We start from the raw sequence: 25,607 nt of genomic DNA on the forward strand, positions 1-25,607 counted from the left end.
CAACAAATGGGTTTAGTTGCACAGTGCCCAGCATGGGCTGCTGTCCGGCAACTAAAGTCGTGGTTGAGAGTATGGAGAAGGGATACTGTTTTCCTTCCATTTCCGGTAGTTGCTCACTACCATGACCCTGTTGTTGTGATAGCTCTTTGCTGTCCTTTCTACCTCACCTTCACCCTATCCTCAGCTATAATACCGTTTAGCTTTGCAGATTAGGAGCTGGGTGAATATAATGGTTCGAGTGAATGGATGAATGAGAATAGTCATTGTAGGCACTGCTGAGGCTTTTTCATACATCCCCACATTTAATGTTTACAGTCTAGCCCCTCCATTTACCTAATGGGTGACTGATACTCAGAGAGGTTAAGTAACTTGACCAAGGTCACACAGCCAGTAGGAGGTGGAGATTGGGATTTGAACCCAGGAATCCTGTTTGACGATAGCTCCTTGACCCCTAGGTGGGCTCCTGCATTTGTACTCAGGGGCAAGGCATCAGTAGTTGGCAGAGATCTTAGCTTGATGCCCAAGGCCTTGCTGAGTAGAGAAGGGAGTTCAAGAGAGGCTTGGAGATGGTCCCTTTTTGGAGCAACCTCTGACTGCAGGGAGGTCAGTTGAGACCCTGGACAGGCATCCAAGCATTTGGAGGAGGGTTGATGCTGGAGCAGGAGCAGCATCTTCACAGGCTGTGGTCACTCCTGAGCTGGGGGAAGCCACCCTGCCTGTCTCCTCTCCCTACCCCATCCCCGCCTTAGTTGTCAGTGAATGCGGTCTTTTCTGAGCTAATTAGAAATCTCAATAGGATCGAGAATAGCTGCCGAAGACAAACGCCCCTTTTAAGTGCTATCAGTGCATGGGAGAGGGGGCTTGCAGAACTGTTCTTAGAGCTTGGGTTTGGTGGCTCCGGCTGGCAGCAGGAAGCAGTGGTTGTCAAGGCCTTACGGCAGCTAGCCTGGGGAGGACAGCATCCCAGGCGACCTTCAGGATCAGTGCAAGCACAGATCTCCTTGACGGACACCCCCGTTTGGGACTTGTTCTTCTCCTTTGTTAACAAAAGTGCTTAAGAAGTAAAAATTGAGTTAGTATAGGAAACCTGAAGTAAATAATGCTGGCTTCAGCTATATGCAAGCTGTTCCTCACACACTGTGCTTTTCATTGTTTAAAATAGCAAGGTTTGGATTTGGGGGGGTCACAGGGAAAGAACACGATGTCTCTTTTACTTTTGTTTTTGTTTTGCCTCTTTTTACCTTTTCTTTTCCAAAAGTAATTTTTGGGACAGAATCAGAAGTGAAGCAAAAATCCAAACGAGCTCTCCGTTTTCTTAATACCTGTCTCCCCTTGTCTTTTTCTGTCAGGTTTGAAGCCGGGCTGGAAAATGTTGGAGATTTTCAGCCTGGGGAAGAGTCGAGGTTCAGGACATTTTTCCTTTTCCTAGGAAAACTCAGAGCAGGGTTAGACAGTTCGCACATCCAAGACCAACACGCATAGGCACACACGTAGCCCTCTGTCTAGGGCCTGATTCAGTCTGCATTCGAGAGTGTTCTGAATGAGAGCACTGTGTTGGCGTCTTCCACACCAGCCTCACTTCACAGGAGAATTTTTCAGGAGCCATTTTTCTATTAAACTCAAGAGCAGAAATTGATGGGGGGATGGGTGCTCTCTGGAGATGTAATTTGAATTTATTTATTTTAATGATTAAAGAGAAAGAATGGTTATTATTCACATGAATGACCTTCTCCCGGTGCTTTTTTGAAAGGAGTTGTGTTGGTTTATTCAAAGTGGCTTAGAACTCACATAATGGCTTACTTCTGTGGAGCTTTCTGAATGAAGCCATGAACTGGGAGGGAATCAAAGTCCCCTTATTTCAGTGCCGGGAGGTAAATGGATAGGGGACAAAAGGAGCAATATTATGTCTCAGACTAAATAAGGTCTCCAGATCAGGGGCTGAACCTGCCCCGGCTCCATCCTGAATTCTTCCTGTGCGGGTAGGTCCTCACTGGACTCACCTGGGCTGGAGAATCAGCTTGGCCACAGACTCCTGGCTTGGTGTGAGCCTCGGGGATTGCTGCCGGAGGGAGGGCGGAGGTCTGTAGGTGGAGAGGTAGGTTCAGGTGGGTGGAGAAGGCACACAGACCGCCGTCTGGGATGAGGTTGCTATTGGATTGGAAATTGCTGTTCAGCCGAGGGTAGAAATCAGGTGCCTGATGTGTGCCAGTTGCTGCATGACGTCTGCCGAGCCCCAGGTGCACCCATGGGGTCATGCATGTACACACACTGGTGTTCCCACACCCCCCTCTTCCTGCACTGCCATGCCCCACCGCCCTTCCCCCACCCACTGCTGAAGTCTTAGCTTTCAAGTGCAGGTGTTGAGGTTAATAACAAGAAGTATCCCAGTTGGCCATTTGCATATGAGACTTCTCACTGGGTTCTAAAGGTGGGAAGGAAGGGATTTAAAAAGATCACGGGCGTGAAAGCTGGAAACAGTGGCGTCCATTGCTTGGGGCAAGGATTGACTAGAGGTGATTTTATGTGCTGACCGCTCCTGTAGAAAGAGAAGCTTAGGCAGATGTCATGCCCTGCCTGTGCCCACCCAACCTTTCTCCCCCTGGCTGGAGCACTCACTCCAAGCCAATAGCCCAGCTTCCCTGGATCCCTCAGCTCCAAAGGGTTGCCTCCTACTCCACTTGCTGCATAGAGGGGTTTTCTGGAACAGAGAATGTGCTGGACCTAGAGCCCCTCGTCCTGGGGCTCAAGGACCCAGCTCATGTGACCTTCAGCAGGTCTCTCCTGCTGCTGCCCCAGGACTGGCCACACACCAGGGCTCTGTCCCCCGACTTCCTCACTAGACCCTCAGGCCATCTGGTCGTGAGGTTTTTACTGCTAACGGGACAGAGTAACGCACATAACCCATGGGGGAGTTGCAGCGGTCTAATTGAAGTTCAGAGTGATGTTCACTGGTCTGTAATTCCTGACTCCCTTCCTGAGAGAGTCCTGGGAACTGAGCTTGGCTTTCTGCCTGCTGCTTGTCTCTGATTATGGAGACCAGCCAGCACCCCCCAACCCAGCCCCCCACTCACTGCCCTGCTGCATCCAGCCCCTGGGTCTTCCACCTCCTGGCACGCTCTAGCCTAGGCCTGAAGTAGCAGGGCCAGACGCTAGGTGTCGCCGTCCTGGACCTGCCTCCATCCCCGGAGGTCTTGGCTCATGGGCTTTCTTGATCTCTGAGTGTCTTTTTTAATCCCTATTGCCCAGCAACGGCTTCCTTGGTTAGAGACAGTCTGGCAAGTTTCCTCTGGTTCAAACTTACGTTTGAAGTTTTTCTACAACCAGAAGGTGATTCTCTGGCTTCTGAGCTTCACCCAACCCTCTCTGAGCCCCAACATGGGGGAACACTGGTCTCTTCTTTCTGTGACTGGTCATCTTTTACAGCTTTGATTCATGCTCTTAGTTTCCAGTTTTATATGTGCTTAAGCATTATAAGACACCTCAGTATTTTTAGGAAATAAGTGGGGACATAAATATAAACAACCCGGAAATCACTGCCCCTAGAATTCACAGAGTGGAAGAACCAAGCTTTTTAGGGCTGATGTGGCGTGGGCTGGGAGACTTCTCTTTTGAGAGGCTGATACTGGTCTTTGAATGAACTCTTTACCCCACCAAAAGTAGAAAAAGGATTCCAGTGACTTCAGAAATTTTTGTTGTTGTTTTGAGAATGTTGGCACCACTGGGAATAATGAGAGACGCCTGGCCTATTCAAAAGTGGCATCAGAAACCTCAGTGTTGGAAATGCAGCCTTTGGTTGTCCATCCCCGCAGCTAGAGCATGAGCCCCCCAAGGCCAGACTCGAGGGCTCAGCGCTTCAGTTGAGTAGTCCTGATTGAACTAGGCTCATGGGCACAGAGCACTGGACTGGGGACCATAGTGGATGCCAAGGCTCGACCAGTGCAAAATCAGCCCAAACTGAAAGCTGTTTGGGAAGGCAGAATGAATGTATCATCTTTCACTCGGCAATTTTTCAAAATTCAGCCACAGGTCTTCCTGGACCCCTAGCCAGGTTTTGATTTTCTAGGCTGGGATGAAAGATGAAAGAGACGTTTATTTGGTGGGAGGGGGATTGGGACATTGAGCTGCTTTTAAATGATGTTAAGAATCCCATTCTTCTCCCTGCTTTCCCACTTCTGCCCTGGTGTTGACTTTGAAAAACCTTCCAAGACAGGCTGAGGCTAAGGAGATGGGGGAGCTTTCCTGAGCAGCTTTCTGAGGTCCGTTTTTTTCTTTTGAAATAGACTGGAAATCTATCTCGGCTCTGAATCATCCTTCGATTCTCATCGCGGAGGGGCAGAGAGGAGGGTGCACGGGCAGCCCAGCTCATGTGCCTTTGTGGCCATCCCTCCTCCTGGCCAAGAGATAACCGGTTGTTTTTGAAAGTCCTGTGTTTATCGCGAGAGAGCAGTGTGGTCAGAGAGGCGGTGAGGAAAGAGCCGGCAGCCCTTCTGTGATGGATGGGTAGCCGACTTTTCTTGTGAAGCAAAGGCAGCCCACAAGTTTGTCTCTTTCAAGAGAAGAAATTTAAAGCAAAGCTCCAGAGAGAGAAGTTTTTTCAGTCTGGTCCTTCATGTAGGCTTAACAATTCTAGGAGGGCCCTGAAAATGGCAGAGACCTCAATTCTCCCCTCCCTCCCTGCCCCTTTATGGGCTCCCTAACTAGAGAGGTTTGCAAAGCTTAAGGGGATTAATGCTCTTTAAACCTCTGCACTCCTTCCTGCTCCTCATGGGATCCGGGTGCTAATAAAGATGTACTAGCTTGGAAAGGCTGGTAAACGCTGCTTTGTTGCCACGGCAACAGGCGAAACAAGAACGACACCAAGTATTGCTAAGAAGAGTCCTTAGGATCAAGAGTTTGGGGCGGGGGAGGGGGGGGATGGTTCTTAAAAATGCAGAGAGTCTTGGCAAGGTAATTAGACTTGGTGCTCTCAAAGTAAATTCATAGTTTTATGGAGCATTACTAGAGAGCCTTGTTACTTGCAAAGTCACCCTCCATCAAGTAGAAGGAACAGCTGAGAGCCGCCAGCATCTGCCGCCAGTTGCTCCAGTGAGGCTGGGGTGTTGCGTCCTGAGACACCATCCCCCCTCTCCTCCTCAGCAAGTAGTCAATGTGTGCACACGCGCTTGTTTGGGAAGCGTTAAAAAGCTCTATTTCCTGCCTCCTTGGTGTTGAAAGATATGAGGGAATGTTCTACACCTGCCTTCTATCCGGGATGATGTTATTGTTTTTAACAAGGATGATAAGACAGTAGCTAAGCACTCCGTAAGCCTGTGTACTGGGCTGAGCAATTCTTTTGCTTTATCTCATTTCACCTTCAGGCTGACCCTGTGTGGTGTAGCTGTTATTATGCCTGTTTTTTCTGATGAAGAAACAGAAGGGTTAAGGAACTTGCCCATGGACACACAGCCAATGACAGAGCTAGGGTCTGAACAGGTGTGGCTATAAAGCCTGGGCTTTGGCCCGTGGGCCATATCTTTACAGACTCACAACCATCCCTTCCTGCTGCTCGAATTTTCATTCTTGAGGCATGAGCAGCGCCTGCAGCCCCTGCTGGGATGTTTTGCTCAAACCTGCTGAGACTTCCAAGGGAGCCTGGGACTCTGCTCTCCTACTCCTTTCCTCCCTTGTGTTTGGGCACTCGGCTGAGCTCCTTGGAAAGATTTCTGCTTCCTGTGGGTGAGAAGTAGGGCAGTGTGAGGAGGCAGGGCTGCTAGGCTAAGATCCCAGGCTGCCCCACTGACCCATGTCCCTTCCTGGGTAATGGTGCCCAGTTGCTCAAGCCATACCTGAGGCTTCAGCCCGGGCCCCATCTCCCACACATCTAGCCAGCGTCCGCACCGCCAGCTCTGGGTCGCCCTGTCCTCTGCACCCACCGCCATGCTCTGTTTCAGACACCTATCCCATCTGTCCCTGGCAGAGCAGCAACTCTCCGGGGACTCCTGCCTCCAGGCCTGTGACCCATTTAGAGGGATCTTTCTGAAATGTGATTCTGGTCGTGCCAAGTTTAGTGGCTGCCTGCTCAGGCGCCTCAGTGTGGCCTCCAGGGTAGGCGTGATGGAGCCTACCTCTCCATTCCCTGTCCGCTGGGGTTCCCTGCTCAGCGCAGCAGGGACCCCAGCAGCTCCTCAACCAGCCAGGTTCCCTGTCAACTTTTGCACATATTAACCCCTACCCACCTTTCCTTTGATAAACTCCTGAGGGTCCTCAGATGGGTGCCCCTTCCTCCCTCCTGAACCCCCTGAGCATGCCTCCATCATTATTTCCCTACACTGACTCCCCCAGTTACTATGAGGATCTTAACTGCAGGAGACCATATTCTGTTCCTCTTGGTGTCCCCAGTACCTGGGACATAATAGGTACTTGGTATATGCTTATTAACCAGAAGAGTGATGGTGTTTATCCTCACCAGGTTGCTATGGCAACAGATGCTGCAGCCCCTCGAGGCCAAGTGACTTGAGACCTTGGAGGTCCAAAGGTCACACAACTACCTTCCTGGGGCCCCACCTGGCATCCTCCTCTCCCTACAGCCAGGACAGGCTGCCCAGCCTCAGAACCACCACTTGTTGTGACTATTAAACCCCATGTCCCAATGATGCCTGGAGACCATGCCTCAGGCACTTTACACTGTTAGTGGTAATGGTGACACATTATCTGAGTTTTGTTGCTTGTAAATTTCTTTTATGCTGATAAGCTTGGAACTGGATTGGAATTGAGTGGGGGACATTGTCCAGTGTCCATCAAGAATGTAATGGTAAACATTTAATGTTTTTTTCTCCTTCTTCCCCACAGTATCAGTTTTCTTATTGAATTTGGGAAGCAATAGCAATTGATTAAGTTGCAGTGGAGCTTGCCCTAAAAGGAAATGATTGATAATCCGTTTAGGTCTGGCTTGCTCGCTTTTCCCCTCCTGATTTCCTTGGCCACTTTTTCAATTACCAACTGTATTTAGCTTGGTTTGCTTGTTGTAACTCATTTCCCCTTCCTCCAGGATCTGCAGGGAAGTTGTAATGTAATGTTAGAGTAGTGACATCTAATTATTTCCCTGAGACATCAGTTAGAAATGTAAGAATACTTCTTCCTTGAGGTGGGCAGACGAGGGATGTGAGTCTGTGAGGCAGAACGTGTCTGTGCTGCCATCAGTCTTTGGGGTGGGAGGGAGGTCAGGGCGTCCAGTGACATCACAGCCTCCTGTCACTGGACTCAGAGCCCATGTGGGCTCCTGAGGCAAGCTCATAGGATTGTTTTGCAAGTGGACTGATTGGCTGGTTGGGTCTTTGCCATTAAGTGAGTTTATGAGGCCCTCACTACTGGGAGAGAGGCTTTGCAGAGGCTTGCGGCACTATGACGAGGGTCACACCTGATGTTCAGAGCTTTTTGTTTCTTTAGCTAATATCTTTAAGGTAAAACCATCTACAAAGTACTTTTACCCACTCAGTGACAGCTTGAGATCCTCCCAACAGTACTAATAAAAGAAAGGAGAAATTGAATTAGCAGCTATGTTTACCCTCCCAAATTAATATATGTATAATGTCTGGCCTTATTTGGTGTTTAGTAATGCATGCTGTCATGGCCACCTTCTCAGTGGAAGCACCGGGTGTGGGATCTCCCTGTTTCACAGGTGGATTGGCTGAGGCCTGAAATGGAGAAGGGACTTGTCCAAGATGGTTCAGGGCATGGAGTATGGAGCCCACTGTTGGGATCGCCAAGATGCCCGATAATAGCGTTCCTCATCCCTGCCTGAGGAGTGAACAGACTGAGGGGTAAGCCAAAGGCATGGCAGATGGTACACGGAAATATCACCTTCTTAAGAAACGTTAACGATGAGGGGCAGGCCGCCTGCATGAGAATTCCTCAGTCATAGGCAACCAGATGGGAGGTGGGCTGACTTACATGGGACAGCCAGGGCAGCATCTTGCTACCTCTTTTTACGCAAGATGAGTCCAGGAATATTCCACACAAAAAAAGCACAGGAGTCACTCAGGACCTGGAGGCTTTTCCCAAGACATCATGATGGAGTCTTCAGGGTCTGCCCCAGGGGCCAAAGCCCCCTTTCCCGCTCCTGCCAGACTCTCATGCATAACAAGTTTGGAATGAATTTGGCAATGCCATCACCACCCAGCTCACTTCTCAGTTACTTTCTGTTTGCTGTGTACTCTGGAAGGTGTGGATTACCCAGGGAGAACCCTGCCTTGAAGGGTGTGTGGCCAGGGACAGGTTCTCTGGGCTGTTGGCTGGTACCCCACAGCCCTGGGCTGGGGTGTTCCCCCTTGTGCCCATGCCAAGGCAAGGCTTTCTGCGTGGAAGTCTGGCAGGTGTACATTCGCTCCCCAGTGGGAATGGGGAGCAGAGGTTTCGTTGAGGCATCTCTTGGGAGTGCACAGTCCCTAATTTCTGAAATACCATTGATGAGAAGCAGCCCCAGTTTGGGTCTGAGTTAATGGGTTAAAAGAGCAGAACTGTTTTCTTGGGCGCTGAATATTTCTTCTAGATGTTCAGGTCCATAACCAAGGCAGCTAAGTCAGCGAATTGTCAGCATTCCAGAAAGAAGCGTCATCTCCTTGGGTGCTGAGGACCTCCGGGGCTGCAGCTGACTCTGCCCTCACACACCCTCCTTCTTGGCTTTCATGATTTATTTTGTCAAGAAGAATGAGGGAGTTAGGAGTGGCATCTCTCATAACAGCCTCCTCCCATCTTCTGAGAGTGCTCAAGACGGAGCTTGCCTGCTGCTGGCGTGGGGAGCTGACAAAATATTTAAATAAAGGCTCTGGGGGAAAAGGACATGCTTAGATTACAAAGAGAAATTCCACGCCGTTATGGTCTCAGCGTATTAGGCGCCTCTGTAATTGCACCTATTCAGCACTGCCATTTCTAGTCACCACGCAGCCATCCGAGGGAAGACGGATGCTCTAAAAATGGCCCCGAGAACAGTCTTTTTAAAAAGGCAGTTAACGATCTGGAGCTATAAATAGTGTCTTTCCAACAAATAACAAAGAGGGTCGGTTCCCCTTTCGCCTCTGCTGTTGAGGCCCCGCATCCTGGAGTAAGTGAGTGGGGTCAGGAGGGTTTGCACCTCCCCTAGAGTTTGAGTTCTTGGAGGCCTGATGACACCCAGCGTGTTGCCTAGAGGTGGGGATGAGACCCTGGCTGGCTGAACTGCCGCTCACCGTGTGTTTTTGGAGACACATCCCTCCTGGTGGCACAACAGAAAACCACGACTCTAAGTCACTTGCCCCAGCCCTCTGACCTCTCTTCAGCCCAGACCAGCCCTTCTGCCAGTTATAAAGCACCAGCCCTGCCAAGAGCAAAGAGAGGCTTGCTGGATCCCGCTGTCTCTTCATGGAGTTCCTGAATCACAGAACCTCCCAGTTTGTCTGTTTGCCTCCCATGTATCAAGAACTCAGAGGTTCAGCCAAGCGCGGTGGCTCACGCCTGTAATTCCAGCACTTTGGGAGGCCAAGGCGGGCAGATCACCTGAGGTCAGGAGTTCGAGACCAGCCTGGCCAACATGGTGGAACCCCATCTCTACTAAAAATACAAAAAAAACAGCGAGGTGTGGTGGCGGGAGCCTGTAACCCCACTACTCGGGAGGCTGAGGCGGGAGAATCACTTGAACCCAGGAGGCGGAGGTTGCAGTGAGCCGAGATGGCACCACTGCACTCCAGCCTGGATGACAAGAGCGAGACTCCATCTAAAAAAAAAGAAAGAAAGAAATCAGAAGTTCTTTGACATCATTTTAATTCATACCTTCTCCAAATCAGAACCACAAAAGCAGCATTACCTACACCCAGAATAGACACAGACATCAACAGAAGCACAAAGTGAGATGGAACCCTGTCTCCCAACCTGAGAGGGAGAGTTTGGGCTAAAACACGCCCATGTGAGGACAGCATTTGGAAAGTTAATGCTAAGGAAATAAGAAGGATGGGAGTAAAAAGAGGACAAGCCCCGATGTCCTGTTTATCAGCTCCCCCTCTCTCCTCTCCTGTCTCATCCGCTCCCGCCTTGAGGATAGCGTGGTTTCCCTGGACTCCTTTCCAGACCAGCTGCAGCCCCATTGGCAATACCAACTTCCCTAGCTGGGGTTGGCTGGACGGTGTGGTTCTTGGCAGAAGATGACACATGGGTAGCAGAGTGACTTTGGCTCCTGCATCGAGTGCTTGTCTCAGCCCCATCCATAGCCATATAGAATCCTAGTGGTGAACATGCAACACCCCTGAGAGCCACTGACCAGGCAGGCACTGGGGTGAGGGAAAGTGAGGGGACTGTGTGGGACCAGCTGTGCTGACGACAGCCTGCCACCCAAGGGATGCCTGTCCCTGCACCCTGGCTTTGTTCCTGCACCTGGTCCCCAGGAAGCCAAATCCAGTGCATTTTTCCAGCTTCTGCTCAGAGACAGCCAGTGTCTGCAGAAGGGCCAAGGCCACTGGACGTCTGGAGAGAGTCTGGCCACAATGGCCAAGTGGTGGACGTCTCCACAGGCTGCCCCGTGCCCCTGCAGAGGCAGGGCTTCATGAAGCAGGAGCAGGCAGCTCAGACCTGGGCCGGGCCACCTGTGCAGGTAACTCCTTCACTGCTATTGGTCGGTGGAATTGTAAGATCAGTTCTTCAGCAGGATGCTGCGGGTTTTCTGAGGCCCGTGGCCATCTGGATTTGTGCTCCGAACATATTATACCATGTTAACAGCTTTTAAAGTAGAAACACATGTGATTCTGGAAGGCTGGGATGGGGCAATGGAGGAGACTGTTTAAAATTGCTGTTTGGTATCTCTCGTAGTACAGTAGCAAAGGTAAAAACCTATTATGGTCCACGGAAGCAGTTCATTGCGTAATGACATCTTCATAACTTGCCCTGCTAGCTGGCTTTTCTCACAGTCTCTGCGGGGAAGTTTTGTTCTTTTAAAATATTTTCTGGGGTGGTGGAGGGGGAGAGTTTGGAGGCGCTAAGCCCCTCCACTGAAACTCCTGGGATGGGGGACTTGCAGTAACCCGTGCCCCTCCGAGGAGCCCTGGAGCGGGGTTGGTGGGGACACTTCCACCCACTTCCATGGGGATTTACAAGGTCTGCTTCATGGACATTTTCAAAACTCTTCTCTCTGCTACTTCCTCCCACCACCCCCAGATCACCACGTTTTGGGAGAAGAGTGGTTGGGAAACAAAGACTCAGATATCAGCCTGCCTTTTAGAAATCCCAGATTTTAACCACCTACCAGCTGAGCAACCTTAGGCCAGTTATATAATCCTCAGAGCCTCTGACTCCTTATCTGCAAGATGGGGTAACAGTAACACATGCCTGCTATTATTTATTACTGATGTTGCTGTTTCTGAGCAGTATAATAATGCTGCTATTATTAACAATTACTGCCGGTATGGAGAGGAGTCATTAGGGCAATGCCTGTACGGTTCCTCGCAGCTCAGTAAAGGCGGTGGTTGCCACCAGCACAAGCATGCCTTGCAGGTTGGTTTTGGTTATTTAATCTTTGCCAAGTAATGCATTGTGGGTTTCTGTTCTGTGAGCATCCCAGGAAAGGAGGCAAGCCAGTTTCGCCCCAGTGGAACTGGGGCAGGAATAGAGGTGGAAAGATGGAAAGCCCACCATCCTCCCAGCTCCAAAGGAGCTGCTCCCTGCTTCAGGGGAAATGGTGACTTTCCAGAGCCCATCTAGCTGATGAAGCAAATGGCGGTGAGGTCGGTGCCCTCTGCACAGGCTGATGTGCACATTTAGGGAGTCAAGTATGGAAACCTCTTGTTCTTGCACTGTCTGTTCTTGAGCAATCATGAAGAGACCTCACAATCCAGAAGAAACCAAGCGAAGTGATGAAACCACAGCCCTGAGATGGAGAGATGGCGGTGTGGGTGGGCCTGGGAGCTTTGCACAGGGTTCTGTCTAGGTGGAGGGTGGGAACATTTGATATTTTTGCCCACCTGCCTGGAACACACTGTATGTGCAGTTGCGTCACCCATGTCTCAGTCCCTGAGGCCTGTCAGCCCCAAGCAGGCCCCAGATATCACAAAAATCCCCGCTCTTGCTCTCCCGTCTTGCTGTTTTCTGACCCCAGCATATCCATTTCTGTGCGGTTTATTCTGAGAAATCCTGTGTGAATTGTGCTTGAACTAGCGGGTCAGAGACTGTCTCCCACCTCCACCCCCACCTGACCTTTCATCCAGACTGCAAACAGGAAGCAATAAGAATTGTTTGCCCAGTTGCTGCTTTGATCTTCTGGGCCCCTTTTGGGGTAGGAGGCTGTGCTAATGAGGAAACATGGGCCAGAAGTCCACAGGCAGGGGAGCTGTGAGGACGACAGAAAGGTAGGAAACCCGCAGCCAGGTGCTCCAAGAAATGGTAGCGTGTGCCCAAGAGCAGTCTCTGCCGCCCCTCTTGAAGCAGCACCCCTTTATCCAGAGGGGATCGGCTGCATGTTTAATGAGAACTTTAGAGGCCTGGAAGGTGCCTACCTAAGCAATAGCAGGTGGCAGTGGCCCCATTTTAAAGATGAGGAAACTGGCACCCAGAGAGGATTGGTTCAGACGTTATTCGAATTTGCAGCTTTGGAGCCCAACAGGCCTGGATTCAAATTCCGGTTCTTTCTACTTATTATATATATAAGCTACTTAACCTCTCTGACCCTCTCTGATTTTCCTCATCTGTAAAACAGGGATAAGAACACTTCTTCAGATGTGATTGCTATAGATTAAATGAGGGAACATATATAAAGAGCCTGATATATAGAAGTGTCCAATAAATAGCAGCTGTTGTTTTCCATTTATCTATCCATCTGCCCGTTCATCCATCCATCCCCATCCATCTGCCCATCCATCCATCCTTATATCCCTTCACCCATCCGCACATCCAGTAAACAGTGATTGGTAAGCCAAGTGCTGTGGCATCTCAAGATGTTCAGAAATGGATCCTGGCCAAGAAGCTTATGTGTCTAGAGACATTTCTAAGACCGTACTTCCCAGGCCTCTTCTCATGGTGCTTTCATACACAGAGGAAGCATTCTTCTCTTAGCAAAGGCATTGCCTGCTGGTCCCAAGCAACTCCTACCCTGGGCACTGGTGTTGCCTGTGGCCTGAAACCAGGGATCTCCCTCTCCTAGGCGACTGGAAGTGCAGAGCTGCGTAACACAGCCCTTCTTAGATCTGTGCTGTCGTAGCACGCGACAGTGGGTCCCAGCTCTCCAGCAGAATGCACCCACTGCTGCACATGCTGTTGGCCAGCTTTCTGGAGGGTGGAGGAGAGCCATCTTTTAAAAATACTATGTTGGGAAAAAAAATACTTCTGTTTTCATTTCACCAACATAAAAAAATGTAGTCACTGCAAACACTGACAGGCAAACTGGTGGCTAACAAATCAGATCCTCAGGGACTGCACGAATGGAGAGATAAGTCTTGGTGTGTGAATTGCACACGGACTATTTTTTTTTCCTTTTTTAAAAATGCGTACAGGCCGGGTGCGATGGCTCATGCCTGTAATCCCAGCACTTTGGAATGCCGAGGCAGGCGGATCACCTGAGGTCAGGAGTTCGAGACCAGCCTGACCAACATGACGAAACCCTGTCTCTACTAAAAATACAAAAGTTAGCCAGGTGTGGTGGCGCATGCCTGTAATCCCAGCTACTCAGGAGGCTGAGACAGGAGAATCGCTTGAATCCAGGAGGTGGAGAATGCAGTGAGCAGAGATCGCACCACTGCACGCCAGCCTGGGTGACAGAGCAAAACTTCGTCTCCAAAAAAAAAAAAAAAAAAAAAAACAGTGCATAGATTTGTGGGGTCCATGTGCAGTTTTGTTATGTGTATAGGCTGCATAGTGGTCTAGCAGGATTTTTTTTATATCCGTCACCCGAACAACATACATTGTACCCATTAAGTCATTTCTCATCACCTACCCCATCCACGTGGACCATTTTTCATACCAATGGCTGCACACCTTAGAGGCTTGCTCTCTTTAGTGATTTAATTGTTTCTCCTGTTGGTTCCTGTGGAAAGTTCTGTTTCTCTCCAGCCCTACACTTGGGGACCATTTATACTCACTCAGGCTTTCCCACAGCCCTGTGAGATAAGGACCCTTGTACACATGGAAAAACTTGAGAGCAGGTAGGCCACTGCCCAAGATCCCAGGCAAGCTAGAACCAAGCTGGGAAGCGGGCTCTGGGCCCAGGATCAGAACCCCAAGGCCCATTTCCATTCTATCCCCAAAATAGTGAATGACATTGGATAAAGCACAATCCATGTCAGTAATCTCCAGTCCTTCCTAATGTGGACTCTCGCCTTCCAGCATTTAACATACCCATAATGGCCCCATTTTAGTGGCTGACTGTCTGTCTGTCTGTCTGTCTGTCTCTCTCTCTCTTTCCCTCTCACACACACACAGGCGCGCACACACACACACACACACACACACACACACACACACATAGGCCTCTGTACAGATGGACCCTGCTTCCAAAATGGAGAGTTTGCATTTTCCTTTCATCCCTCACCTCCTAGTCCCCAGGCCCTCCGCCCTCCCTAAAGATGCTGTGGTGAAGGGGTTCTGGAAGATCCCATTGTCTGGCCTGTTACACGCTCTGCTGAACAGCCCACCTGAGCCAGAATGGGCCTGGGCACCTCCTCTGAGGCGTGTCACATTTCCCAAGCGCAGCCTGATGAATAGGACGTCCTTTATGGCCAGCCCCCTGCACGTGTTTCTCTCTGTGCAGCTGATACTGTTGTGCTCAAGACACAAAGGCCCCCATGTCCCTGGCTGCCCATCCTCTCTGCCTGTGTGAAGGGCGTGCCATGTGTTTGTGGATTTCTTGCTGGAACAGGGCACAGATGGCTGGGTTTGAGTGCAGCAGTAATTAAGAATTGCCCAGGAGCTAACATATTTATGGGCACTGGCCCAGGACAGCCCAGAAGGTCGCCTTGTAATCAGGCATCACGTGACTCCTAGGAGCCAGTTAACAATGGTATGGCCGTGGCTTGCATCCTCTGCCCTGTGCCCTTAGAGGGTTTTCTTTTTAATTGGGGACATTTCTGAATGCATTTGGGTCCTTCCTCTGCTTTGGGGGAAGCTCTGATGTTTCTGGGCCTCAGTGGGTCCAAGTGAGGTGGCCTGGAAACCACCAGTAAGCACACGAGGTTGGGGTGATGATGATGGTGAGGCCATTCTACCCATCTCATGGCTACTCAAAGTCAGTATTGCAGTCTGAGTCCTGGGCAGGGTTCTGGAGACAGTGCTGCTGTCAGGGGAGCTCCAGCCCTAATAGGAGACTATTTAGGGCATTTATGGAGCTTGCAGCCTGTGTCCAGCACAGTGCACAGATGTATAAAGTGTCTCCCTGACCTTTGGAATTGGGAGTCTCATCAAGTATGTGGTTAATGCTAAATTGTATGGTATTTCCTTTGCTTGTTCATTCAATAAATGATGCGAGCACACAGTAGGTACTGAGTAATGCAGTTATGAACCCCTGCTGCACTCTTTTGTCTACTCACTGGCACTTACATACAGCCTTTTATCCATTGGACAGTACCTCTTGGCGCAATCGTGACGCCTTGGGTTGTTGGTTACCATTCTGTGCGTTTATCTGTTTCACCACCTTCATTAACAACAGCCGTTTATGGGGCACCTAACAGTGCTAGATGCTGTCCTGAGTACCTTACATATGTTGCCTTATTTAATCCTCACAGAGTTCCTCTTTGACAGATGAGGAAACTGAGACTCAGAGACATGGTTACTTGCTGAAGACACAGAATATGCATCAAAGGTGGTCTGACTTGAGAGCCAGGGTGCCTGGTATTCGGCTGTGCCACCCCATCTGCATCTAAGGATTTTTTTGTACAATCCACAGTGCCTGGCACTGTGCCTAGATAGCACTGATGCTTCCAGAGAAGGAAGAGATCATGCTGGATTTCCCATTTTTCTGTAGGATAAGCACAGCATCTGAATTCGGTTCCAGCCGGCCTTCCCAGCCTCACGCTGTACCATTCCCTGATCTTGAGTCACCTGATCCTGCCTGTAGTTTCTCAGTGCACTCAGTGCTCCCGGAGGCTTCCCTGACTTTGCACCTGCCCTTGTCTCCACCTGGAATGTCCGTCCCTGCCCCTTTGTGCCTGGAGGCCTCGTCTTCTGTCTAGAATAGGTGGATGCCACCTGCCTGAAAGCCTTCCTGCATTCTTGCAGACAGTCATCCTTCCTTTTGTCCTGCTCCATCACAGCCTTACCAGTTTTGTGTTGGGATTGCTTGCCTGTCCCTCTCCTGCTAAGGACAGGGCACTCTCTGAAGACAAAGACATGTTTTATTTTATACCCCCTCGACTAACACCCATGCCTGGCACATCAGCCAGGCTCAGCAGACAGTTACTGAGTGAATGCATTCATTGGAGCAGCTCTGTGGAGCAGTTGAAGCTGTATCCACCTAGGCTTTGAAAGCAGAGGAAGGGAAGGCATTTCAGGCAGATGCCCCCTTCTTGCTATTCTCCTCTTTCTCGGGCTCCCTGGGTTGGGTGAAAATTGGCTGTAGACATGAGACACCCCTGTTGCCTCCTAAGTAACATCTGTTTACTTTCCCAGGGAGAGTAGCGATTTACGAAGAGCAAATGGAAGCGAAAACCCCTTTTCTTCTTTGGGCCGGCTGTGTATTGCTGGGGCACTTGGGCAGACCCCCAAAGACATCCTTAAAGACAAGAGAAATCGGGGGCTGTGTGAAGATGTCACATCTGCAGATAGGGTTCGAGGTAGAGCGGCCTTTTGGGTTTTCTCCTCATTTGGAGAAATCGAGAAGTAGCACGGAAGACCTTCAGACCCAGAGCTTGTGTACGGCACAGTCCTTGAAGGATTTGCTCCCATTCTCAGGGAGCAAGACCCATCTTAAACGTGGAAACAAATACAGCAGAGTAATACATACTTGAGGCTTAATGTAAGTTAATTCCTCTTGGCACAGCCCCAGATATCTTGATTAAATGGTCTGCGAAGTGCTGAGATATCTTGATAATGTACGTTTTACATTTGATTATATAATCAATTATGTTTCTCCTAATAAAATTTAAAATGAGCTAAAAAAGCCATGAGAAGACAGTACCACATATCAAAAGAAGGTCTCCAGATGAATGGAAGGAAGCCCTGGCCCCCTGGGTCACATGTTGGTGTTCTCAGGCATTGGGGCCCGGTATTTCCTGCGTTTACCTGTGCAGAAGTCATCATAGCTTACTAGATTTGTGTTGGTAGAGGGCATGTGCAGAGTGAGGTATCATTTCAAGACACAGAATATAGCGCAGCATTGCTTTCTGGGATGAACGTGGTTTTATTCACTCAGTAACTGAGAGATTGAGGATTTGGCTCATCTCAGGAAGCTCAAGGCAGAGCTGAGAAAAGAACTCAACGAAGCTGGGCTTGCCCGAGAGACTGCCACCGATCTGGTTGGGGCCACCAGTCAATTTATGAAACAATGTAAGGAGGAGTGTTCAGAGGCGCACCAAGGGCCTCGTACAGCCAATTAGGAGAGTTGCTGGTGGCTTTCTCTGCCTGCCTGTGAAGCAGCAGTGCCCGCTGGGGAGGTGGCAGGATTTAATAGAAGGGGCATGTTCAAACCCATTCTTCCAGGGAGTGTAGGAGAAGGACCTGATGAGTCTTCCTATCCGTGCCCTGGAGGGTGATGTTTCTCCAAGGATGCTTCCATGTAGCAGGGAGCTTGGGAGGTTTGGGGGACAAATGCTCGTTCTTATTAATGGATGGAAGGGTCTATTCCAGACAATCCATTCTGTCCCGCAGACAGGCTGCTGCACCATTTTTGTTTCCGTTTAAAACATTGCTATCAACCAGTTGGAATATAGGCCCGGAGTATCGCAGGGAGTAATCTAATTAGTATGAAGTCAATTCAGTCGCTCCTTTTGTATCTCGTGATTAAATAAGTGGGGAAAATGGCTTGAAAATTAGGTGCTAGAACGACCCAATTACATTTCTGTAGCTTTTTGTATTCAATTTCATAAACAATTTTGCTCTTCGCTGGTTAATCAGTGAATGCCTTTTTCCAGTTTGAAAAGCACTTTTGAAATTATAATGCAATTAAATTGTGTGTGGATGTTCTGGCATAGCGAGTGTGAAAGCCAGGGGCTTGGCAGGCCGCCATGTTGTACCTTGACTGTAATGAGTCCCTGGGCTGGCAGCTTGCGAGTGTCATTCATAATATTGTCCATGCTGGGTTACTGTAAAGTGCAGCTGCCTTAACCGGCAGTTAACCGGCGACTGCCAGTCTCTCTCTGCAGTGGGCTGTGCGTGCCTCTTCCAACAGGGCTGTACCCCAAAGACGGCAGAGTGGCCAGGCTCCTCTCAGTACTTGCCCAGGCATTGGGAAGTCGGGGGTCTTCCTGGTGGATGGGGCCACTGCCTCAGAGATGATCTGATTACCTGTCCCCAGGGAAGGGTGGAATGTATTTATCCTTCTTCATCTCCTTGGCCTAGCAGGCTTCTCTGTCTACAGTTACAACAGATTATGGGAAGGGGAAGGGAGGAGACAGAAGTCTTAAGCACCTTGCTCTGCACCTAGCTTACAATAAATACCTTTACTGAATCCTTCCAATAACCTTTGCAAGAGTAGTATTACTGTCTCCATTTGATAGATGGAGATATTGAGGCACAGCGGGATTTGATGACATCCCATAAGTGGTGGCTCTGAGATTGGGACCTGAATTGATCTAACTCCAAGACCTATGTTCTTTCAGCATTTCTGCAACTGGGAAACAAACTGAAATAAAGGCTGGGGGAGCTGGGTGCAGGAGAGTGGCATGAAGTCACTGCTCTCCGAGAGGGGACGTGAGGACATGAACCTTCTTCCTTAGGCTGGGAGAATGCCTCTTGGTCCACACAAGGATGCCATATAGAAAATGAAAGATGCTTTAGTTTTTCACCAAATTATATTTAACCATATTTCCACTCCTTTGGACATTTCGATGTGAGTTGGGATGATCTATAAGGTGGGCACAAGACACAAGACAGTGACTCAAGGCTGGGATCATGAGAAGCCCCTAGGGAAAATACTGGCCATGGCATAATCCAGTGGCACAATCCTGTCTCAGTCCCCAGATCTTGCCCCAATCAAGAACAAAGACTCTCGTGCCTCTAGTGCCTTAGGATATGAGGCCTGTAGAAGGTGGTCGACCCCCAAAGGGCCTCACAGCAGGAGGTGGTGAGATCACTCTGATTCTAGAACTTTCTTGCTGATTAATGGCTCAAGTCCTAACAGTTAACACCTAGCCTCCACCTCTAATCCCCTTCTTCCCTATTGATTCTTTTTCCTGATAGAGGCCTTCACACTAAACCCGGTTTACTGCAAATGAGTGTTATTAAACTCCTAGAGGGTGCTTTTCAGCACATTCCTTCATGTTAAAATTGCCATAGACTTTCAACCAAAGGAGGGGAGTACCTGTGGCCTGGTTATCGTAATGCTTGCTGAGTGGAAATGACAAGCTTTACACCAAGGTGGGCCTCCAGGGGGCTGGAGCACTGTGGTGGTGTTTATTGGTGAGAGAGGAAAGGTTAGCAGGTAGAAGTGAACACACCTGGGCCTGGCTGGTACCGGGGAGAAGGAGGGACAGAGGGAGAAATGTCCTGACCTACCTTGGACTTGGGGAGATTGTTTCCTGTTGTAGCCTCTTTTAAAAATTTTTTTGACTGTGTCTGGGAGATCATGGGTCAGGTGCAACATCTCTTTTGCAGTAAAGCTTGGCAAGGCTAGGGTGGGGAGGTGAATGGGGTGGGACGGTGGATTAGAGAGAGGAGGGGAGATAGGGCCCCTGGGACTAAGCTTAGATTTAGCTGGGAAGCATGTTAGTAGCTGCCAGCATGTGCTTCTAATCATCTATTCGCCAGATGTTCCCGGAATGGGAAATAGAGGGGCCTTGCCTGATAGTTCCCTGATGGAAACTGGTAGCTTCAAATTGGAAATGGGCTCCAGTTTGCTGCCAGGTGTTTGCTCCTTCCTAGAACATCTGGAAGGAGGACAGTAGAAAAGGCATCTCTGCCCCAGCCTGGAGTTTTGCGGGCAGCTGTCTTGCTGATGGATCTCTGAAAGCTGGACATTGTGGTCATGAGGAGAGTCATGAGAATCTTCTGAAATGAGCCCTCCATTTGCAGGAGTTCACCTCAGAGTTTAAACTTCCAGGATTGAGCCTGAGGCTCCAAAACAGGGCACCTTGCAAGCCTGGGCTAATAAGGCACCTATTTCTGGAGAGATGCAGATTTTTCAAGATGTTAGAGGAAGAAGCAAGAGGAAGATGAAGAATCAGCTCCTGACCTAATTTCTGGTCCAAAGTGAAAAGATTGAAAAATACTTTTTAAGGTGGTGACTATCCTAAACCAGTGAGCCTTGTGGAAATTCCATGAGGATCTCACAGGGAAAACTGGACCCCGAATGAATTAACATGGAACCCACCTAACCACACAAGTCTTTGCTCTGGGTATGTGGAACCAAAATTATCTTCCTGGCTGAAATGACCAGTTTCTCAAGAATTTTAGGGTGCAGTGCAGGATCCTAAGATGGTGTAGCAGGAGGCCACTCCCTGGGCCTCTGAGTGCATCTGCCATCAGTGGGAAAGGGTGTGAAATCTGCCTTGGGAGTTACAGGGAGGTCCTCAGCGTAGACACGAGCCACGGCTGACACACACTCAGGAGAACACTTACAAAGCAAACTGAAAGGAAATTATGGGACGCTCATATGATGGATGATTACACATCCATTAAAATGGTGTTTACAGAGAGTTTTTAAATGACGTGGAAATGCCGATGACATAGTATTGCACAAAAAAGCTATAAAATTTATATACGCTGTGAATCATATTAGAATTAGAATCACCTGGGGAGCTCTTAGAGAAGACCAACTCCCAGGCCCCACCTCAGACCAAGTAAATCAGAGGCTCTGAGGGTGGCGCCTGGACATCCCTGTCTTTTAAAACCCCCCAGGTGATTATGATATGCAGGTTGGGTTGAGAGTGATTGCAGTAAAGCAGTATTCATGGAAGGAAAGAAATTCTCCACACTTTCACCAGTGGTTTTCTCTGGTAGAGGAGTTATGGGGTGGGTTGAAATCTGTGCCTTAATTATTTGTGAGTTATCCACGGTTTTGCAGGGAGCATAGGAGCTATGATGAGAACAGGGGTCTCTTCCAGCAGGTAAAAATGGACAGTGCTGGAGACCCAAGTCGAATCTCTTCTCTGCAACACTCTTCCCTGCCTGCCTTCTTGTCCCCAGTCCTTGGGATTCTGTTAATTTGGGGATTTATTTCATGCTCTTGGTGATGAGGCCATTATGCCTATTCAGATTGTTTATCAGAAAAGCCAACAACCAAAAACAACCTATTTGAGACAAAGTGGGAGGCCCAGCATGGCGCCCACTGCAATTGCTCATATGGGTGTGACCTGAGTTCACAGGGTCGCCAGAGTCTGGCAGCTTGGGATGCATGGTATGCAGAAGGCTGCTGGATCCTCTCTTATATGGGGGTTCCTGGCAGGCCGATCTGGCAGGCAGGTGTGTGAGTCCTGGCTGGGTTGGCTTTCCTCCCAGGACATCTGGGAGAAAGACCAGCATGGGAAGAAGGCAGTCAGGGCAGCAGTGACGGCCTCTGGGGCCCCTCCCCCTGCAGATTTGAGCAAAGCCTGAGCCACAGGTGGGCTCAGGGTAAAGACCAGGGTAGGAGTGTGCACTCAGCCATAATTGGCCGCCTTGTTGATGTATTGGGTCCAGTGAAGAGCCTCTGAGCAGAGGGATGCTGTGCCAAGTTTCATTTCTGGAGCTGTGGTGGCTCTAACTAGGAATCGAGCTTTTGCCCAGTCCTGACATCATTTGATCATTTAGCTCCGAGGAACCAGAGGCAGGAAGCATGCCACTAACCTTTTACTGCCTGTCACTGTTGAAGAGGAGGGGCAGGCCGCCCTGGGAAGGGGAGAATCAATCCACAACTTGCTTTTGTCGTTTGTTAAGTCTTCTCTCCCCGCATTTCAGGCTGAGGGGCCTGACCTTGCCACCTCAGAACCATGAGACAGGAGGATGCAGGAAGGGGAGATGCTCTGAGGGAATGTGGCAGCCCCCACCAGGCCCCGCTCCTCCCAGGAGATGGGTTTCTGGTGGACCTGGTAGTGTTTTACCTTGCCTTTACCTCACGTACCTCTGGATTCTGAATATTCTCCTCTGGTTCTTGTGCTCTCTGAATATTCTCCTCTTGGATTCGTGGTGTGGTCAACGACAAGGGTCACCTAGTCTATACTCCAGTTTCCTCTTGGGTTAAAATGGATAATCCTTTTTGAGATACTTCATCGAATGATAGTAAGGATAAAGTGAAATAACCTACAGGAATGGGTTTGGAAAGACAGTGGGAAAGTAATAGTAATGATAATAATGTCACTTTGAGAGCACATCCAGACACTCCTCTGTTCTTTTCCTCTCTGTTCCCAGCTGGGCAGGTGAGCAGCTTACACCAAATGGGAAAGCCAATACTTTCTACAGCCGACTGCGTGCCTCTGCCTTCCCCGCCCACATCAGGAGAGGGTCCCAAACCCTCCCTCTCTGCAAATGCCCACTTCCCTCATGTCCTCTCAATCCCACCTACACCCACCCTAGTTCTCCAGACCCCTAAGGAAGGGTACTTTATCATTAGGCCAACTAATTGTTCATCTGTGCTTCAGTGGGTGTGGTGGGGGAGCTAGAAAGCTGATCAGCCGTGCCAAAGAGTAAATCAATGGATCGTAGCCAAGTCAGGACAGGTGACCCTGACAGGTGTGTGCAGCAGAATCGGATCCTCAAGCCAGAGCCTGCTGGGAAGCATGAAGGATTTGGCATCACCAAGGAGGAATGTCGCAGGTTTGAATAAGGATTCAGAGGTTTAATCAGCAAAGCTATTTAGGTCCCAGTGAGTCTAACTGTGAGAATTATTTTGAGCTTCACCCTGTTCCAGAAATTTTGGGTTCGCTAAGCAAGATGGTATTTGGCAGCAGCAACCTGGAAAAGAGTGAGGACTTGCCATAGAAGCCTCTGGGATTAGAGGAATTTGCAGAGCCTCAGAGCCCAAGGCTGGCGCCCAGTAATTTTTGTGGGACATGGTCTCAGAACTCTAGCTTCTGACGATTTGCTTTTAAAAGTCCAATCTGTCTGCCTTTCTCCTTAAGGCAATCTGTCCTGAATTCAAGATATTCTGTGTCTGCTTGTCTTTGTCCATTTTGTCACCTTGAGACATGGCTGCAGCCTCAGGTACCTCCTGGCACATAAGCAGGTGCTAAACCAATATTGATTGAATCGAAGGAGGCTAGCACGTTGGAGGGAATGTGTTGCCTTCTGTGTAAAGAGCCCTCCTTTCCCCAGAGCTGGCATCTCTGCTATGGAGGCTGCCACCCACCAGCTCAGGGCAGAGAGCTGAGCTCGGCCGACCTCCATTCGTCAGCACGGCGCCACATTTGGGTAGCACCTGCTTCCCCGCCGTCCTGATTTAGAGGAGCCTGGATTCAGGTTTCTGTTGTAAACTCTATTTTTAACTAAACCGAGTGGAGATCAGGCTGAGATGGCTGTAACTTATGGGCATGAGGTGACCAATGCAAAGGTAACAGGATGCATTCTCACTGGAACTGCTGTGCAAGTGTGGACGTGCCCGACAACTCCGTCTGAGGATCCCACATGGGCACAGTGACCTGGGATGGAGCAGGAGTGCCCCCTCGTAGAGTCCAGATGCACATGTCCAATGGGAAGGCGAGGGCAGTCTCCTAGAATGCCTCTGTGGTGGGCGGTACGGTGTTCATGGGGACCACTTGTCAGTGTCTGCCCTTATTTGTCAGCATTGGTTACTAGTTATTGTAAAGATATTGCCTTACATTTATATTTCCCAAATGCATTGATCCCTATAATGACCTTGAAAAGCAATAATAGCGTTATAATAATATGTAATAATAGTATTAATGACCAGCAACTTCTGCTTATTGATCCCTTAGGATGTGTCGTGCTCTGTGCCAAGTGCCCTCCTACATTATCACTCATTAATAAACCAGGTGGGGAGGCTGTTACTGGGATTTCCATTTTTCAGATTCATTCATTCATTTGACAAATTTTTATTGAGAATAAGTTCTAGGCACAGGGAATTCAGCAGTGAACCACCCAGGCTGAAATCTCTGCCCTCAATGAGGAAGCTGAGCCTGTTGAGGTCACCTGAGTTGCTCAGGGTGATAGAGCCCATAGAGTGAGGCTGGGGATCAACCCCCATCACTCCAGACCTGCTGAGTTCCTGGGCCACCACATTTATCAGCAAGGATAACCGACCAGCCATTGGCCTCTATTATATGGCAGCTTATCCAGGGCTGTGTTAACACTAAGCCTTCCATTTATTTTGGTTGATCTTCCAGGGGCTGATGGAGGAGTGACAGGCTTTAGGGACAGACAGACCTGGGCTTACATCCCAGCTCAGCGACTCCCTGATGGAAGGAGGGCATGGACAGTGACTTGACTTTGCTGAGCATCTGATTCCTCATTTGTCTAACTGGGATAACATTACTTGCCTTGAGGGCGAGGGCAGGCTAGAAGGATTAGATATCATCATATGAAGGGGTTGAGTAGGACTTATAAGCCAAGTACGTGGTGGTGGTTGTGACGATAATGATGACAACCTAATAAGAAGGAAAAGCCAGGCGGGGAAAGGAATATGGCTCATCCTAGAGGAGAACAAGTCAGGAGGTAGCTCTACCCCTCCCTCCCTGGGCTAGGATTTGTCAGTCCCAGGTTGGGAAAGGAACTCCAGCCCCTGCACATCTGTGTCTCCCCAGCCCCACCCCTCATATCCTCCATCCTAGCCCCAGCAATGCCGCTGCTCCTCTGGGGAAAGCTAATGGCCAAGGCATTACTTAACTCCTGGCTTTTCTCCAGCCTTTGCTGAGGCCTCCACCACTGCCAGCTTCTCTCTCGTCACTATTTGGTTATGTTCCTTTACAAGCCAATGAAATAAAATAAGAAAGTCCATTATACCTCTGGTTGGCAGAAAACCAGGAGCTAAGAACCAGAGTGCAAAGGCCCTCATGAGTCTGTAGCACAGGCCATTGGATGGGGATGTCTTCCTTCAGAAGGATGGTGCATGGGCGGGGCAGGGCGGAGAAGCCAGCCCATGGGCCAGTCCACAGAGCCCAGGTCAAGGATGCAATTCTGGGTCCTGTGTCCCCATGGTTGAGCCTCTGGTGGCCACCCCCAGTCTCTCCTAGAAGGTTTCCAGCCTGGATGTGTCAGGCTGGCATGTGTGCCAGGCTGGATGTGTCATATGGGGCACAGCCTTTAGGCGCAGCAGTAGGTGACCCTTTGTAGGGCAAGGGTCTCTCTCTGAGTGTGGGTTCTGTCCTAGCTTTTGCCATCTATCTTCTACCAACTACTGTGGAGCTTCGGTTTCATCAGTCTTAAGAGATGAGCAGGACAGATGGCTCTGCCAGCCTTCAAAGACACAAATTCTGCATTCTCTCTCTCTCTTTTTTTTTTTTTTTTTTTTGAGACGGAGTCTCGCTCTGTCGCCCAGGCTGGAGTGCAGTGGCACGATCTCAGCTCACTGCAAGCTCCGCCTCCCGGGTTCACGCCATTCT

General features: G+C 49.6%; 1 protein-coding gene and 1 long non-coding RNA gene across 13 annotated transcripts in view, besides 2 other annotated features; both read left to right on the forward strand.

The window, feature by feature from the left end:
- Nucleotides 1–25,496, forward strand: LOC107984993 (uncharacterized). The gene is made up of 2 exons (XR_001752947.3): nt 1–10,597; nt 16,591–25,496. It is a non-coding gene; the product is annotated as an uncharacterized LOC107984993 (long non-coding RNA).
- The window catches only part of MSI2 (musashi RNA binding protein 2), a 445,731-nt gene that overhangs the window by 293,482 nt on the left and 126,642 nt on the right, over nt 1–25,607 (forward strand). The window lies entirely within an intron of this gene.
- Nucleotides 2,857–3,076: an enhancer, noted in NCBI's record as "active region_12443". NCBI's record gives its function as "activates an Ori minimal core promoter by ATAC-STARR-seq in GM12878 lymphoblastoid cells {active_cell/tissue: GM12878}" and the evidence as "EXISTENCE:reporter gene assay evidence [ECO:0000049][PMID:35858748]".
- Nucleotides 12,038–12,538: an enhancer, noted in NCBI's record as "H3K27ac hESC enhancer chr17:55638731-55639231 (GRCh37/hg19 assembly coordinates)". NCBI's record gives its function as "activates a minimal SCP1, AML or CMV promoter by ChIP-STARR-seq in naive and primed H9 embryonic stem cells {active_cell/tissue: H9 hESC(naive and primed)}" and the evidence as "EXISTENCE:reporter gene assay evidence [ECO:0000049][PMID:30033119]".

The sequence above is a fragment of the Homo sapiens genome, chromosome 17, assembly GCF_000001405.40.
Source record: "Homo sapiens chromosome 17, GRCh38.p14 Primary Assembly".
Lineage (NCBI taxonomy): Eukaryota > Metazoa > Chordata > Mammalia > Primates > Hominidae > Homo > Homo sapiens.